The sequence below is a fragment of the Homo sapiens genome, chromosome 20 (assembly GCF_000001405.40).
Source record: "Homo sapiens chromosome 20, GRCh38.p14 Primary Assembly".
NCBI lineage: Eukaryota > Metazoa > Chordata > Mammalia > Primates > Hominidae > Homo > Homo sapiens.
Window position 1 is genome coordinate 57,210,076 of NC_000020.11, and position 14,531 is coordinate 57,224,606.

The 14,531-nt window shown below is 53.3% G+C and overlaps 1 protein-coding gene and 1 long non-coding RNA gene across 2 annotated transcripts in view, besides 1 other annotated feature; one reads left to right on the top strand and one right to left on the bottom strand.

The window, feature by feature from the left end:
* Nucleotides 1-14,531, bottom strand: part of BMP7 (bone morphogenetic protein 7) — a 97,889-nt gene that overhangs the window by 41,323 nt on the left and 42,035 nt on the right. The window lies entirely within an intron of this gene.
* BMP7-AS1 (BMP7 antisense RNA 1) lies at nucleotides 3,621-5,791 on the top strand. The gene is made up of 4 exons (NR_110631.1): nucleotides 3,621-4,001; nucleotides 4,293-4,420; nucleotides 4,730-4,873; nucleotides 5,433-5,791. It is a non-coding gene; the product is annotated as a BMP7 antisense RNA 1 (long non-coding RNA).
* Nucleotides 13,436-13,937: an enhancer, noted in NCBI's record as "H3K4me1 hESC enhancer chr20:55798567-55799068 (GRCh37/hg19 assembly coordinates)". NCBI's record gives its function as "activates a minimal SCP1, AML or CMV promoter by ChIP-STARR-seq in primed H9 embryonic stem cells {active_cell/tissue: H9 hESC(primed)}" and the evidence as "EXISTENCE:reporter gene assay evidence [ECO:0000049][PMID:30033119]".

The following is a 14,531-nucleotide window of genomic DNA, read 5'->3' on the forward strand; positions in this document are numbered from 1 at the left end:
GGCTGTTTCTGATTAAAGAAACAGCAAGACCCCAAAAGTCGTCTTCTCTTCTCTTCTGAAACTGGGTTCTCCCATAGCCCTGCTCTGCAAGGCATGAACCGCTGGTGACCCCAATGCCGCCGCACTAAGAGGCGTTAATATTTAACCACCAGCCTGGGGACAGCGTGCTGCTGGGCTTTCAGGTGCCTCCTCCCAAGGACGCCCAGGTGAATCGGCTGAAATCTAATTCTAGGGGAGCAGGACGAGGAACCGCACATCCCCAGGCTCGTTTCCAGTGTCTCCCAGCCCACCTTCCCCTGGAAAGTTCTACCACAATGGAAAAGGGGATATTTTAAAATCTCAAACGTGGGAAGGCAGGAAGTCCTTTTTTTGGCCTCTGGCTACCTACCTAGAGGCTATTTAGAGACTGATCCTCATGGGCCTTCACCCACCACCCGCCTCCCAGGGGAGTAAGACTCCCATGTGGGATGCAGGACCCGGCCTCAGCGCAAACACAGATCCAGGGAAGATGGCCCTGAAACTGCCCCAGGGCAAAACAGAGCGGAGTTGGGAGTCTGAGGATCTCTCTGGCCCTGAGGCACCCAGGCACGCGTTGGAGCCACAGGAAACACGAATTCCAACATGGCCACACAGTGCACACTGTCTCGTTACCTGGGACAGTCCCCATCCTGTCTGCGCCCACCATCGGGGCTCCTTCAGCCTCCTGCCCCTGGGCCCAGCCATCCAGGGTCTTAGGAGCAGAACAGGCCCTTGGAAATCCATTCTGGTCATTTTAATTTTCAGCTTGGAAAGATGAGAGAGTTTTTGTCTTGCGCATGGGCAGCTGGTGGCTGAACGAGGATTAGACACCAGTTCTGGGCCATAATTTAGGGCAGTGTAATGAAAAATGTTCTCGCCATCACAGCCTGAGAGCCAGCCTGATATCCCCCTCTGCTACCTTCAGACACAGCCCCCCACCACCTTCAGGGAGCAGGCGCAAGCCAGGGTTGGAAGGGCCGCATGTGGAATCACCCGGCTGGTGGCCGGGGGCCCTCAGCACCCTGACACCTCGTACTGGGCACCTACTGCACACTAGGCTCTTAAGGGACACTCTCCCACCTCCTCCTCCCTCCTCCAATGAGGTCAGTACAATCCGCATCCCCACTTAATATCACCTTAATACCACCTATTACATGGGGATGGGGATTGTACAAAAACTGAGGGGCAGGGAGGCTCAGGACACGCCTCTGCTGGGAGCAACAGGCCCCAGGCCAGAGGTTACTCGAAGCACAGAAAGCCATCTCCAGGAGCCCCACCCAAGTTAGAGGAGGCAGGGCAGGAGAGGACGGGGCTGGCCCAGGCCCACCATCAAAAAAAAGGAAAACACACTTCAGATGATGTGGTAGGCAGAATAACACCCCCTCAGACACATCCAGGTCCTGACCCAGGAAGCTGTGGGTATGCCACCTCCCAGGCCCTGATCCCAGAAGCTGTGGGTATGCCACCTTCCACAGCAGCAGGGACTTTGCAGATGTGATGAAAGATTTTTGAGTTGGGAGATTATCCTGGATTATCCTCATGGGCCCAAAGGAATCATAAGGGTCCTGATAACAGGGGAGGCAGGAGGCCAGAGAATAAGCTGTGACAGCGAAAGCAGGGGTCAGGGTGGTGTGACTGCGGCTGGGAACCTTGAGCCAAGAAAGGGGGCTCTGTCTCCTAGAAGCCAGAAACAACAAGGAAACAGATCCTCCCCCAGGCTCTCCAGAAAAGATGCAGCCCTATGGACCCCCTGATTTGGGCCTAGTAAAACCCATTTCAGACTTCAGACCTCCCAAACTCTAAGAGAATAAATGTGTGTTGTCTTAAGCCACTAAGTTGGCGGTCACTGGGCTCAGCAGCTGGAGGAATGAATACAGTTTCTCTCCTGAGATCCACACTGAAACGCCTCCTCTCCACAGGTGCTCTGCTAGGAGCCAGAGACACAGCGGCAGCCAGAGATGGAGCTCCGGGTCCAGAGGCTGGGCGTGCGTAGCACACAAGAGGGTCATTCAAACCCTAATTAAGTGGCGTGAAGGAGGGAAGAGGCCTCTGGGTGAGCAAGACAAAAGAAAAGGACTAGATGTGAGGTGTGAGGGTGTGCGGGGAGGACGTTTTATAGAAACATCTCCCGAAGGGGGTCAGAGGATGAGCAGAACTAACACAGCTAAAAGGGCAGGGAAAAGCGTTCCCGGCAGAGAGAACCGAATGCGGAAGTCATGATGAGAAAGTAGTGAGGAGAGGGCACAGGTGCACGATGTCCCCTGCAGGGCCTCTGGCCGCGGGAGGTCAGGTCTTGCTGAGCGCTGGGAAGCCGGGAGGAGTTCTAAGCAGGAGTGGAGATGACGGGCTCTGCCACTCGCAGACCCAGCTGACTCGCTCCCCGACCCCTAGTCTGACCCTCGCCCTCGCCTCACTCTGCTGCTCTTTGGAAAACTGCAGGCCGGACATTCTGAAGGCCTGCATGTTGTGAACGGTTGCTGGGCCGCAAGGATATTCCTCAGAAGAAAAGGAGCAAGAGAGCGAGCCAGCGAGCATGGCCAGAGCATTCCCAGGCTAGCATGATGTCATGGAGGGAGCACAGGCTTGCGGCTGCGGTGAGTCAGGCCGGGAAACTGCAACCCGCCGTGCACCTGGAGTCAGCCCAGCAGCAACCCCAGCCTGCAGGGAAGCCCGGGAAGGAGATCAAAGGAGCCCAGAAGGAAGCCGGCCCCACCCTGGCAGCCAGCTCCCGGGTCCAAGGGGTGCCCCTTCTGAGCTGCAGGCTGGGGAGGACTCAGCCCGGGCCCCAGGCTCCCCCACCTCAGCTTCAGGGAATGCCCTGCTTTCCTGCCAAATCATAGAACAGTCCCTGGCATCCCCCAGACGGGAAGAGGAAGTCAGGGAGGTCCAAGGCTTTTTAAAAATACACTTTCTTGAAGACGGTGCATATCCAGGAAGGCTAAAATTAAAGCTTTGGGGAGTAAGGTGGAAAAATACACAAAGAGGCACAATATCCTCCTGCCCCAGACAGAGCTCGGGTGGCCACCCACGGCCCTCTCACCCACCCCACGGCTGTCTGTCTCCCTCTGGGCAGGGCCAGCTGACTGCAGACAGCACCAACCCAGCCACTCATGGGAAAGTCAGGAAGATGCCCGTCCAGCACCCGGAGGCCAGCGTTGTCACAGTCAGAAGGCGAGTCAGTGGCCCTTATGTTCTAGCCCTCAGTTTCTCCATCCACAAGACAAAGGGTTTGGAGTTTATCAAGGTCTCAAAAACTGCAACTTATTAATAGGATAGCTAAGAGAGGAAAATGAGAGGATCAAAAATCCAAAATGCTCTGTGGTGAAATGAGGTTGGGAAGCACCACATGACACATTGCTCCTTAGAGATGTCATAATGCACCTTAGCTCTTTAAAGGCTCTGAAAAGTCCTGCTGCAAAGAAATGTCTGCTCCGGCAATGGAGCGCAGTAACGAGCCGTTCAAACTTGTGTCAAGGTGTGGATCACAGAGGCTGGGGGTCAAGAGGGAAGAGAAATACAGCGACAAATGGAAGGCTCTCCCTCATTAGAGACACAGCCACCAGCAGAGACAATCAGGGGGTGAGAGGCCCGGAATCCTCTTTGTGATGAAATCCCCAGAGTGGTCCTCGGGTCCCACAGTGGGTGCTCAGGGATGTAGGCTGTAGGGCTCCAGGCTCTGAGTTGAGGAAAATTGGAGTTAAATTTCAGTGAAGTAACCCTGAGCAAGTCAGTCTCTGTCCATCAGGTTCTTTTGTTTGTAAAATGGAGGTAGCCATGAGGATTGTTCTGAGAATGAGTTAAATGGAAAGATATGCTCAAGATGCCAGCGCAAAGCCAGAGACTCAAGGTTCGCAGCTGGTTGGAGCAAACCTCAATGTCAGTGTGAATCTTCCACCATGGGATTCAAGCTGCCTTGGCTCTAAAGTAAGATCACAGCTGCAGTGAGCTGACCCCAACTCAAGATGGAACCATCTTAGAACAAGGTGCGGAGCGAGCCCTCTGAACCGTATGGTACCTGAGAGGCGAGCACTGTTGTCCCCTCTCACAGGTGGGAGACTGAGGCTCAGAGATATGCAGGTAGTGAATGGAACCACCCCAGAGCCTTGTTCCAGCAAAGTGTCACCCCTGCACGGTGATGGTTTGATGGTGGAGGGAGAGCTACCACCCAGAGAACCCGGGGGTTCCCCTTCCACTCTTCTCACCCCGCACTCCCCCTGCCCCAGCAGCTTGCAGGGGCTGAGCAATTAACTTCCCTGCCTCAAACCCTTTATCAGCTCTTAGGATAAAAAGCCAAAGCTCTCTAATGTGTTCTGTGATAAAGAAGACTATGGAACTGACAGTCCAAACCGAGAAACTGGGGAGAGAGAGGAGGCATTATTGTCAACTCCAGGTCATCCAACCTGTAAGGCCCTGGATGGTCCGGCCCCTGTCTCCACAGCCTCCTCCCACCCAGCCCTCCTCATCTGTGCCAGTCTCCAGCCCACCACAGCCCCTCACACATGCTGTTTCCGCTGCCTGCAACACTGTTCCCTGCCTTTTCACCTCCCTCACACCTGCCTGTTCTTGAGCATCCCAGGGAAGCGTCCACTGATGCCCTAATGGTGCATCCACGTCGGACACGCTCCAAGCCCAAGTCCTCTCCCCTGCGCCATCTGGGCTGGAGTTTCAGTTTGTTTGTATAGTTTTTTGGGTTCTCCTCTTTTCCTGCCAGGTTTTAAGCTTTTTGTCAGCAAGAACCAGCCCTATTTTATTCAGCCCTGGAGCGGCCTCTCCACCAGGCACACAGCTTAGCACAAAGCAGGCCTCAGATGCACGCTGGACAAATGTGCTGGTATCCTCTGCATCCTTATGGCCAGTAAGGTTTTCTGGTTTCACTTCCAATAGTTTACATTATTAAAAGAGAAATGGTAAATACTTTTTCAGATTATTCAGGTAGCTCCAGAAATGGCTCTGACTCACAGTTCACTGGGGCCTTAGCCCACCCAGCCCACTCTATGTCCCACTGGGCACCCACACTCCCAGGCCATGGGCACCCAGCTGCACATCCTAGTTGAAGGGAAACCCTCATCAGCCCCTGGGCACCTCCATACCCCCCACCTTCACAGGCCTGGCTATGGAACCAGGGGGCTGTCAAATTACCTCAAATTGACCCCTCACTGGAAACTGCCAGGCTGCATGGGCTTCCGGTTGAGTGCCCCCATTTACTGTCCCCATCACCTCTTCGGAGCCACCTCCTTTCCCCACATCAGGCAAAAATCAAGAGGACTCAGGTGGGCAGAAAGCAACAGCTGGGAAGAAAGCACATCTCACATTTCCTTTTGGACCTGACTCTTGTCCCTCTTTGCTTAAGATATCAGGGTTTGAGCCCCAGAATTTCTGGAAAACTGGAGGCTCTACTGTTCCATTCAACCCAGGCATGATCCATCCAGAAACCCAGTGGAACTGAGCCGCGAGCTGGATTCCAGCTCACAGAACACACCAAGAACTCTGGTGAAACATCAAGAACTCTGGGGGGTCCCCCCAGAAAAATCTGGGGGGCACTGCAGAGCTTCTGACACGGCTCTGGGGGAAATCCCACACGGATGGGCAGCTGCCTGCATCTGGCACTGTGGAGGTGGGCGGGCAGCCATGGAGGATGGGGAGACTCATCTTTCTAGACTTCTCCTGGGGACCGCATTTCCTCCAGCCTCCAGGTCCAGACCAAAATAGAATGAGGTAAATTCAGCCCCTTTCCTGAAGCACACTCAAGGAATAAACAAGCACCACAAATACAGTCTTCGGGCTGGGTCATCTTTCCAACCTCATTTTTTTTTTTTTTTAAGAGAACCACAGGCTGTTTTAAGATTCCAAACCCAGAGACAGAAAAAGTGCAGCAAAGCAGGGCGACAAGGGGAAAGAAACTTGACAGTGCTTTGCAGACAGAAACAAGTGACGCAATTTCCAAATTCAAGATTCTCAAAAACAGAGGCTGGGTTGGAACATCTAGAGAAGGCCAGAGCGGGCTGTTCTAAGACTTATTCTCACGGTAGCATCCTGAAGCCGGGGGGGTCCAGGAAGGGGGCAGGCTGAGGACATCAGCTTGCACTTGGTAGGCCCTCACCAGGTCCCAGAAGCTGTGCCGGTGCCAAAGCTGCCCCTTGCCAGGAAGCCCTCCCGGCTGCCCTGTGTGGTTGACACTTGGCCTCTGTCATGCTTCAGTGACCCCAGAGGCAGGTCCTGAGTCAAGGACTTGAATGCAAGTAGTTTGTCTGAGAGGTGACCCCAGGAACCACCTGGAGAGGGCGGGGAAGTAAGGCAAGCTTGGAGATTGTCAAAACAGAACACTGTGGGCCTGGGACTTCAGCCCGTCAGAACCTCCTGGAGCAGCTCCAGAGGGGTGCACCTGAGGACGAGGGCGCTGTCTCCTGAGGGCGAGGGGGCTGTCTCCTGAGGGCGAGGGGGCTGTCTCCTGAGGGCGAGGGGCTGTCTCCTGAGGGTGAGGGGCTGTCTCTTGAGGGCGAGGGGCTGTCTCCTGAGGGTGAGGGACTGTCTCCTGAGGGTGAGGGGGCTGGGGAATTCTCCATAGACCTTGACTCCGACTCCTCAGTGGGTCAGAGAAAGTTCCCCGCAGAGCTCCCACATAGGGGAAGGTGTGTGGGGAGGGGAAGCCTCGAGGTCTGCGGCTCAGCGGGTCCATCTCTCCGAGGAGGAGTGGAGGCCCTGTCCAAGGTGGCAGTTGGTGAGGCTGACATGGTGGGAGTCACCACCTGAGCAGCCAGACATGGGCTGGAGGAGAAATGCTGTCTACATTCATGGCAGGGACCCCCGCCAGGACAACCTGTGGTGGCATCTGCAGAGAAAAGACTCAAACACCAGTGATGCTGGGGAAGCTGGAGGATCCCTCTTATGTCCAGGAGCCAGACTAGGGCCTCAGAGATGCTTTTCCTACTGCACCGTGAGCCCCCGCATGTGGAACACCCAAGGGGAAAGGGATGGAGGCAGGACTCAGCTGGAGAAAGCTTTCCAAGGAGAATGACCATGACAGGTTTGTTGGGAGGCTCCTGGTTCCAGCTCTCAATCCCACTTGCAAACCTGACTCCCAAACCACCCCACCCACCCTCTCCCACTTCCGGGACCTGTGGGTTCAACCCCAGAGCAAGAGGCTGAGCCCGCTCCCTAAGCCCACAGCATGGAGGGGAAAGAGCCTGCTATTGAGGACACCTCAAGTGCCATCTTTAAAGCGCCCCTAACTAGGCCCTGGGGAAGAGTTAGGAGACAAAGAACCCTTACCCCAAAAAGGCTCTTATAATCTCATTTCCACTCAAGAAGCAAAGCCACATGGAGTGCTCTGTGCCAGGCACTGAGGTCGCCATAGCTGAAAGCCCAGGGGTTACAAGGACTCCAGTCTGGGGACCCCGTGTGGCTGTGACCCACGTCACTCAAGTTCAGAAGACATCGAGCCACAGCCAGAGTGTAGGGATTCAGGTTGAATTTTAAAATAGGTGGGGCTGAGATAGACGGAGCGATAGTGGGAGAGGACTCTGCATCAACTCCCTCCAAACGCTGGGTGACTGTCACTTTCAGAAACAAGCAAAGCAGGAGAAACACATAGGCAGGAGGAGCCCCAGGGAATGTGGCCACTGAAGGGTAGGTGGCGTCCTGGACAGGACAGAAGGACAAGAAGTAAAAGCAAAGGGGTCCGGAATAAATGATTGACTTTCATTAATAAAAATGCAGATGCTGGGTCCTTAATTATGAAAACTGTACCCTATTGATGTTAGGTGTTAAAACAGGGGAAACCAGGCGTGTCTGCGCATCTGTGTGCTGTGTCTGTGTCTGTGTTTCTGTGGATCTGTCTGTGTTTCCACGTGTTTACGTGTACAGGAGACAGCTGGAAATGAGGCTGGGGCTGAAAGGTATCTGTATAAAGATACCTATCAACACAGATATCAACAGACATCTGTATCCAGGGAGATGGCAAGGCCAGGGCCGGCTTCATGGGCATCTGACCCGTGCAGTCACACAGGGCCCGACACACAGAAGTACGCCGAGCTTGGTTTCATGCTCTGCTGTTGCTGTCTTGAAATCCTTTATACATTTTTGACACATTTTCATTTTGCACTGGGCCCAGAAGGTGACACAACCAGTCCTGGGAGCTTGTTTTTAAACATTCATGATGAAAACTCCTAGCCCCTACACCTGACTAGTTGGGGTTAAACATGGGAACCTGTATTTTTCTCTTCCAATATATTTCCAGGAGGTTCTGACAACAGCTGGGTTTGAGCACCACCTCGGACAGATGTGTGTGAGGAGCTGCACAGCTGGTGTTTGGTGGTAGCTGGTGTTTGTTTGGTGGTAGCTGGTGTTTGGTGGTAGCTGGTGTTTCTTTGGTGGTAGCTGGTGTGTGTTCGGTGGTAGCTGGTGTGTGTTTGCTGGTAGCTGGTGTTCGGAGGTAGCTGGTGTTTGGTGGTAGCTGGTGTTTTGTAGTAGTAGCTGGTGTTTGGTAGTAGCTGGTGTTTGGTGGTAGCTGGTGTTTGTTCAGTGGTAGCTGGTGTTTGTTCAGTGGTAGCTGGTGTTTGTTCGGTGGTAGCTGGTGTTTGTTCAGTGATAGCTGGTGTTTGGTGGTAGCTGGGTTTGTTTGGTGGTAGCTGGTGTTTGTTCGGTGGTAGCTGGCATTTGTTCGGTGGTAGCTGGTGTTTGTTTGGTGGTAGCTGGTGTTTGGTGGTGCTGGTGTTTGTTTGGTGGTAGCTGGTGTGTGTTCGGTGGTAGCTGGTATGTGTTTGCTGGTAGCTGGTGTTTGGTGGTAGCTGGTGTTTGGTGGTAGCTGGTGTTTGGTGGTAGCTAGTGTTTGTTCAGTGGTAGCTGGTGTTGGTTAGGTGGTAGCTGGTGTTTGTTCAGTGATAGCTGGTGTTTGGTGGTAGCTGGGTTTGTTTGGTGGTAGCTGGTGTTTGTTTGGTGGTAGCTGGCGTTCGGTGGTAGCTGGCATTTGTTTGGTGGTAGCTGGCGTTTGTTCAGTGGTAGCTGGTGTTTGGTGGTAGCTGGTGTTTGTTCGGTGGTAGCTGTTCGGTGGTAGCTGGTGTTCAGTGGTAGCTGTTCGGTGGTAGCTGGTGTTTGTTCAGTGGTAGCTGGTGTTTGTTCGGTGGTAGGTGGTGTTTGGTGGTAGCTGGTGTTTGCTGGTAGCTGGTGTTTGCTGGTAGGTGGTGTTTGGTGGTAGGTAGCAGTGAGCAAGGTAAGTGGGAAGGTGGGAAGAAGACAGGGTGGGCGAGGGACTTCCCACTTAAGTATGTTCAACTTCGGCTGTGTCACCCAGAGGTACTTGACATCCCTCCCTCCCTCCACCCTGTGCTTCTCAGTCAGGGCCTAGTTAGAGGCCCTTTTAAAGATGGGACCCTGACAATATCTGGTGACATTTTTGGTTTCACAACTGAGTGTGGGGATGTGTCATTGGCATCTGGTGGGCAGAAGCCAGGGCTGCTACCGAATGCCCTACTATGCCCAGGATGGCCCTTAACCCCAGAGAATGAGCCACCCCCAAAGGTCACTACTGCGGAGGCTCGGAAACCGAAACCCTGCCTCAAATGACAGGGTATAAACACTTCAGCTCTCTTGACGGGACTAGGATGAGGGTGCAACTTTGTCTCCAGAACCTCTAGCAGGAAGAGTGAGCCAAAGTCACCCTTCGGGGTGCTCTGCGCAGCACCGCTCCCTCACCTGGCCTCCCCATCTCCCCACTGCCCGATGCTCCTAAAGGCCTTTCCTGGAAACACTTTCTAATCCTTCACTCTCACAGCCACACAATCCTCAGCTGAGGGTGAGCTTTGGAGAAACCTGACCTGAAACCAGTGGCCAACAGGTTTCACTTGATGGCAGCTTCACTCAACTGGCAGTGGCTGCCTTATTTAGAGACCTGTACCAAGGATCCAGGGAAAGGGAGGGAAAGGGATCCATTAGCAATGCCTGCCTTGGTCCCAGGAGGAGAAGGGTGGCATGCGTGCTGGAATGCAAGACCAGGTGTCAGCTTTCCTTCCTCCTTTCTTGGGGTGGCAAAATGGAAAGCCATGGGCATTGTTGAGGAAAAAGAAGAACATGGCACCGACAGAGGTTGCAATAGGAAGACAAAGGAAGAAGCAGGGTTTGGAAGAACCTTGAGTATTTACCTACATGCCTACTTCCAATCTGAACTTGAACTAGCTTCATTAACTGTGGTTGTCTCCTTTAAAACATCATCATGTTCCTGGTAAGCCTGTATTCCCCACCCTTAGAGTTAGTATTTGAGCAGACACTTTTCTTCCCAGCTACAGATGACTGCTTGTGACCAAATTGAAAAATATTAATTCTCTTTGTCTCCTGCCAAAAAAGCTAAAGCAATTACAGATCCTGATTCGAAACATAGATGTTAATACATTTGGAAAAATGAGCTTCTATAGGCGAGCAGAGGCCCAGGGCCAAGCATGAAGTGCTTTTGGAATCAAAGTGCCAAATCAAGTTATCCAGAGAGCTGCCTCCACGAAAGCCCATTCTTCCCAAATGCATCCCAGTGTAAAGAACCCCAGGCTGCCGCACACACGCTGATGTCTCCCCTATTTGCAAACAAGAACCGACCTACCCTTGGGCACCCACTGGCACACAGCTGTAAATAACGTAATTATAATCATCACAGGGAAACATCCATAGGATCAGAAAGTATCATAATTACAGGCAATTTTCACTTTTTGGAAATTGGGCTCAGATGCTGAAGAAAGATTGCAAGCAAGGCATTCTCGAGTTTCAATTCTGGAAGAGAAAGCACATTGGAGCATTTGGTAGGACGAACTAGCTCCAGGGCAAAGATACTGTGGCCGGCACTCACTCATCCAGCAGGCATCTGTTGTACATGCGCTCAGGCACACAGGACCAGACCATGTGGTCTGTGAATTCAGAGAGCCCACATCTTCAAAGGGAAGGCTGGGTCGTGCTTTCATCCTTTCGTGCATTTGGTGTCTTACTGAGCACCTACTATGTGCCAGGCTCTAGGCAAAATGGATACCACAGTGAGCAAAACGAACAAAACTCCTCCCCTTGTGGACCCCCTGTCACTGTCTCTGCTGGGCCCCACTCAGATCTTCACTATGCAGCCCCACACGGTTCAGCAAGTGTCCACATGCTGTCCAAGTCCGTGCAACTTCCGAGGGGTGGAAAAAGAGGCGGCTCCAGGTGCGTCTGCAAAGCCTCACTACACACTACTGGGACAGGCTGGGCAGGTCACTGGTCTCTGCCTCAATTTCCTTGTGTGGAAAATATGAATTGCCCCACCATTTCCCAATTTACAGGACTGGACTGCCACGAGGAGAAAGAAAAAAGTGTATCCACCAGCCAAGGAAGAAAAACATATGCGACTGGGGAAAGATGGAAGCTTCTCATCCTTAATCCCCAACCCAGTATTGTGCCTTCATTTCCTTGTCTGTGAAAGAGGGTGTGGGAGCAGGCACGGTGGTTCATGCCTGTAATCACAACACTCTGGGAGGCCAAGGCAGGAGAACAACTTGAGGCCAAGAGTTTGAGATCAGCCTGGACAACACAGTGAGACCTCATCTCTACAAAAGTAAAAAACTAGCCAGACATAGTGGTGTGTTCCTATGGTCCTAGCTACTTGAGAGGCTCAGGTGGGACGATTGCTCCAACCCAGGAGGTCGAGGCTGCAGTGAGCTGTGATCACTCCACTGCACTCCAGCAGAGCAACAGAGCAAGACCCTATCTCTCAAAAAAAAAAAAAAAAAAAAAAAGAGGGGTGGGCAGGGATAAGGGTGTCTCCATGGGGGGTTGTTGTGGGAAGCAGTAAAGAGCCCCCATTGCATGCAATTAGCTTTTGTCATCATGACTGTTCCCAAAGGCAGCCATCCCTTCTCCCAGCATAGACAAGTGTCATGGGAGAGAGGAGGCTCCAAGATCGCATTGTGGACCCAGCTAAATCGATGGAAACGTAAAGAGAGCAGACCTTTCCCACAGGTGGTCTACAAGAGGGGCAGGACTGACCACCTCGTGGGGACACCCGCTCGGCTTCACTGAACGTGATATAACACCTACGGGGAATCAGGGAAAATGTGGGCAACCTGCTGAGCCCCCGCCCGCCGCAAACACTCAGCAAACGGAATCTGTTGCCATCGATTCCCAGCCACCACCCGTATGCTCCCTGTGAAGCCAGGCTCGGGATGAATTATGGGAAGAAATAACAGGGACAGAGATAAAAAAAAGCCACCAAGGCCCACCAGATGGCCTCAGGCCACAGGACAGGAAGCCAACGGGCATTTGGCCCCCAGATGCTGAGTAGGGGATACTGGCTGTGTCTCTGGCATTAACTGGATTGAACACAGTGGTTTGCCATCTCTGCCCAGCTGGGTGGCTTTTTCCAGAGGGATCCTTGCAGATCCATGAGAGGACCCCAAGCGGAACCAAAGGCATTAAGGGCCTGCCACTCCCTCTCAGGCAGCTTCAGTCTCGGTTCTGGAGTGAGGCCCAGAGAAAGGGACTGCGAGGAAAAATGCCAAGGCTCCTTGATGAGGGCTGCTCTCCTCTGACCTTCCAGGACATCCTGGAAGTTCCCAGCAGCCAAAAGGAATCCTCCTTGCCCTCTGAAAAGGCTACTCAGGAAGCTGACCTGGCACATCCTGAGAAGGCAGCTCAAAACCAGAACTCATGCCCTGGGGCTGAGGTGTAGTGGCAAGGGGTAGAAGCCAGGAGACGAGGAAACAGGCATGTAGCCTTCAGGAGCAGCAAGAAACTCCAGAGGCTTCTGGAAGCTTCCAGAAGCTTCCAGAAGCCTCTGGAGCCAGAGTCCAAAGGGATCTTCACCCTTAGCCAGTCCCTTTCCTGTGCCATTGAGACTGACAATTGTGGTCTGGACTACACTTTGGGCTCAGTCTCATGGGAAGAAGAACAGTCTTCTCTGAGACACCAAGCTGAAGGGAACATGGAATGTGTCACAGAAGGCCAATACATGGTGAAACCCCATCTCTACTAAAAATAAAAAAATCAGCCAGGCATGGTGGTACATACTTGTAATCCCAGCTACTTGGGAGGCTGAGGCAGGAGAATCACTTGAACTTGAGAGGTGGAGGTTGCAGTGAGCTGGGATCGTGCCACTGCACTCCAGCCTGGGCAACACAGTGAGACTCCATCTCAAAAAAAAAAAAAAAAGGAATCTCTTTCCTTCCTCTTGGGCATGTAAGACAGCTCATGGGTGAGAAATTAGAGAGATCTTAGCCACCTGTTCACACCCCAGCACACAGGGAATCACCTGGGAGCTTTTAAAGCACACCAATGACAGTTCAACCCCTACGGATCAGGAGTTTTAAAAGCCTCTGTGATTCTATTGCACAGCCAAGGCTGAAAACCAGCTCAGGACTCATCAATGGACCCATCTGAGCCCCAGGTGAGGGAATCAGCACTATGGGAATCACTGAGGCACGGCCATGGCTAAGATGGTGACTGCTGAAATCTAAGAGCCTGGGTTTGAGCCCCACCTCTGCCACTTTGTAGCTGTGTGCTTTTGGGCAAGTTACTTCCCACCTCTGAGCCAGGCTCCGCACCTGTAAAATGGGGATGATACATCTTCATAGGAACCTTTCCAAGGCATGAAACAAAGCTGAAGTGTCCAGCACAGTCATAAACAGTAAGCACCACGCAACAAGAAGCCTCAACCACAGGGTGGAGACATGCTCTGGAACGTGACCATGGCTCTCTGCCCAAACACGCTCATGGGGGCTAACGGCAGGGCAAAACCCGCCCAGAGTCTTGCTACCAAGTCATGAATCCGCACATCATAAGTTGCCACCACCCCAGCATCCCCAGGAGAGGACTGGGCAAGGAGCCCTTGGCCCACTGCCCGAGGGCCGCCCTGTGAGGGGGCTGCATCGTTCCTCCTACCACATCCAGCCCCACCTACCTTCTCAGGTTTATGGACCAAAATCATCACGGCGTCCCCAGGGAGCTTCTCAGAAAGGCAGAAACTCAGGGCCCCCATCCCAGGGCTAGTCGAGGGCAAGAGCCTCTGCCTGGGCTGAAGGGACCCAGGAAACTGAGCCCAGGCCTCCTCTGCCAATCCATCCTGTGTGGTGGGGACAGGCAGGGGGCAGCTCCCTCTTCCTCAGAGTGACTCAGGCTGCAGCTGATCCAAATCTTGGCCCTCGAGACCACGCTGAGGTCACCCTCCTGGCAGCCAAAATCACTGAGATGAACCCAGGGACATTTTCATCCAGCTGCCAACATCATCTCGACCTTGGTGGCGGCCGACTCCCTTGGAGCAGATTCTGCTGCCCTGGCTGGCCTTGGCCTCCCAGGGAGGTTCTCAGAGGCCAGCTCCCAAAGCAGAAGTGTGTCGCCTACATGTGGGGCAGCGCTGTGGAGTGGGGCAAGCCTGACACATGCTCAAGGAGAGACGGGGAAGACTGGGATGGAAGATGCCAGGTCCCAGCTCCACAGCAGAAACAGGGCAAACAGCACAACCCCTACCCCAAATATCCTCACCTTCACCTGGAACCAAAGTCTGCACCAATGGA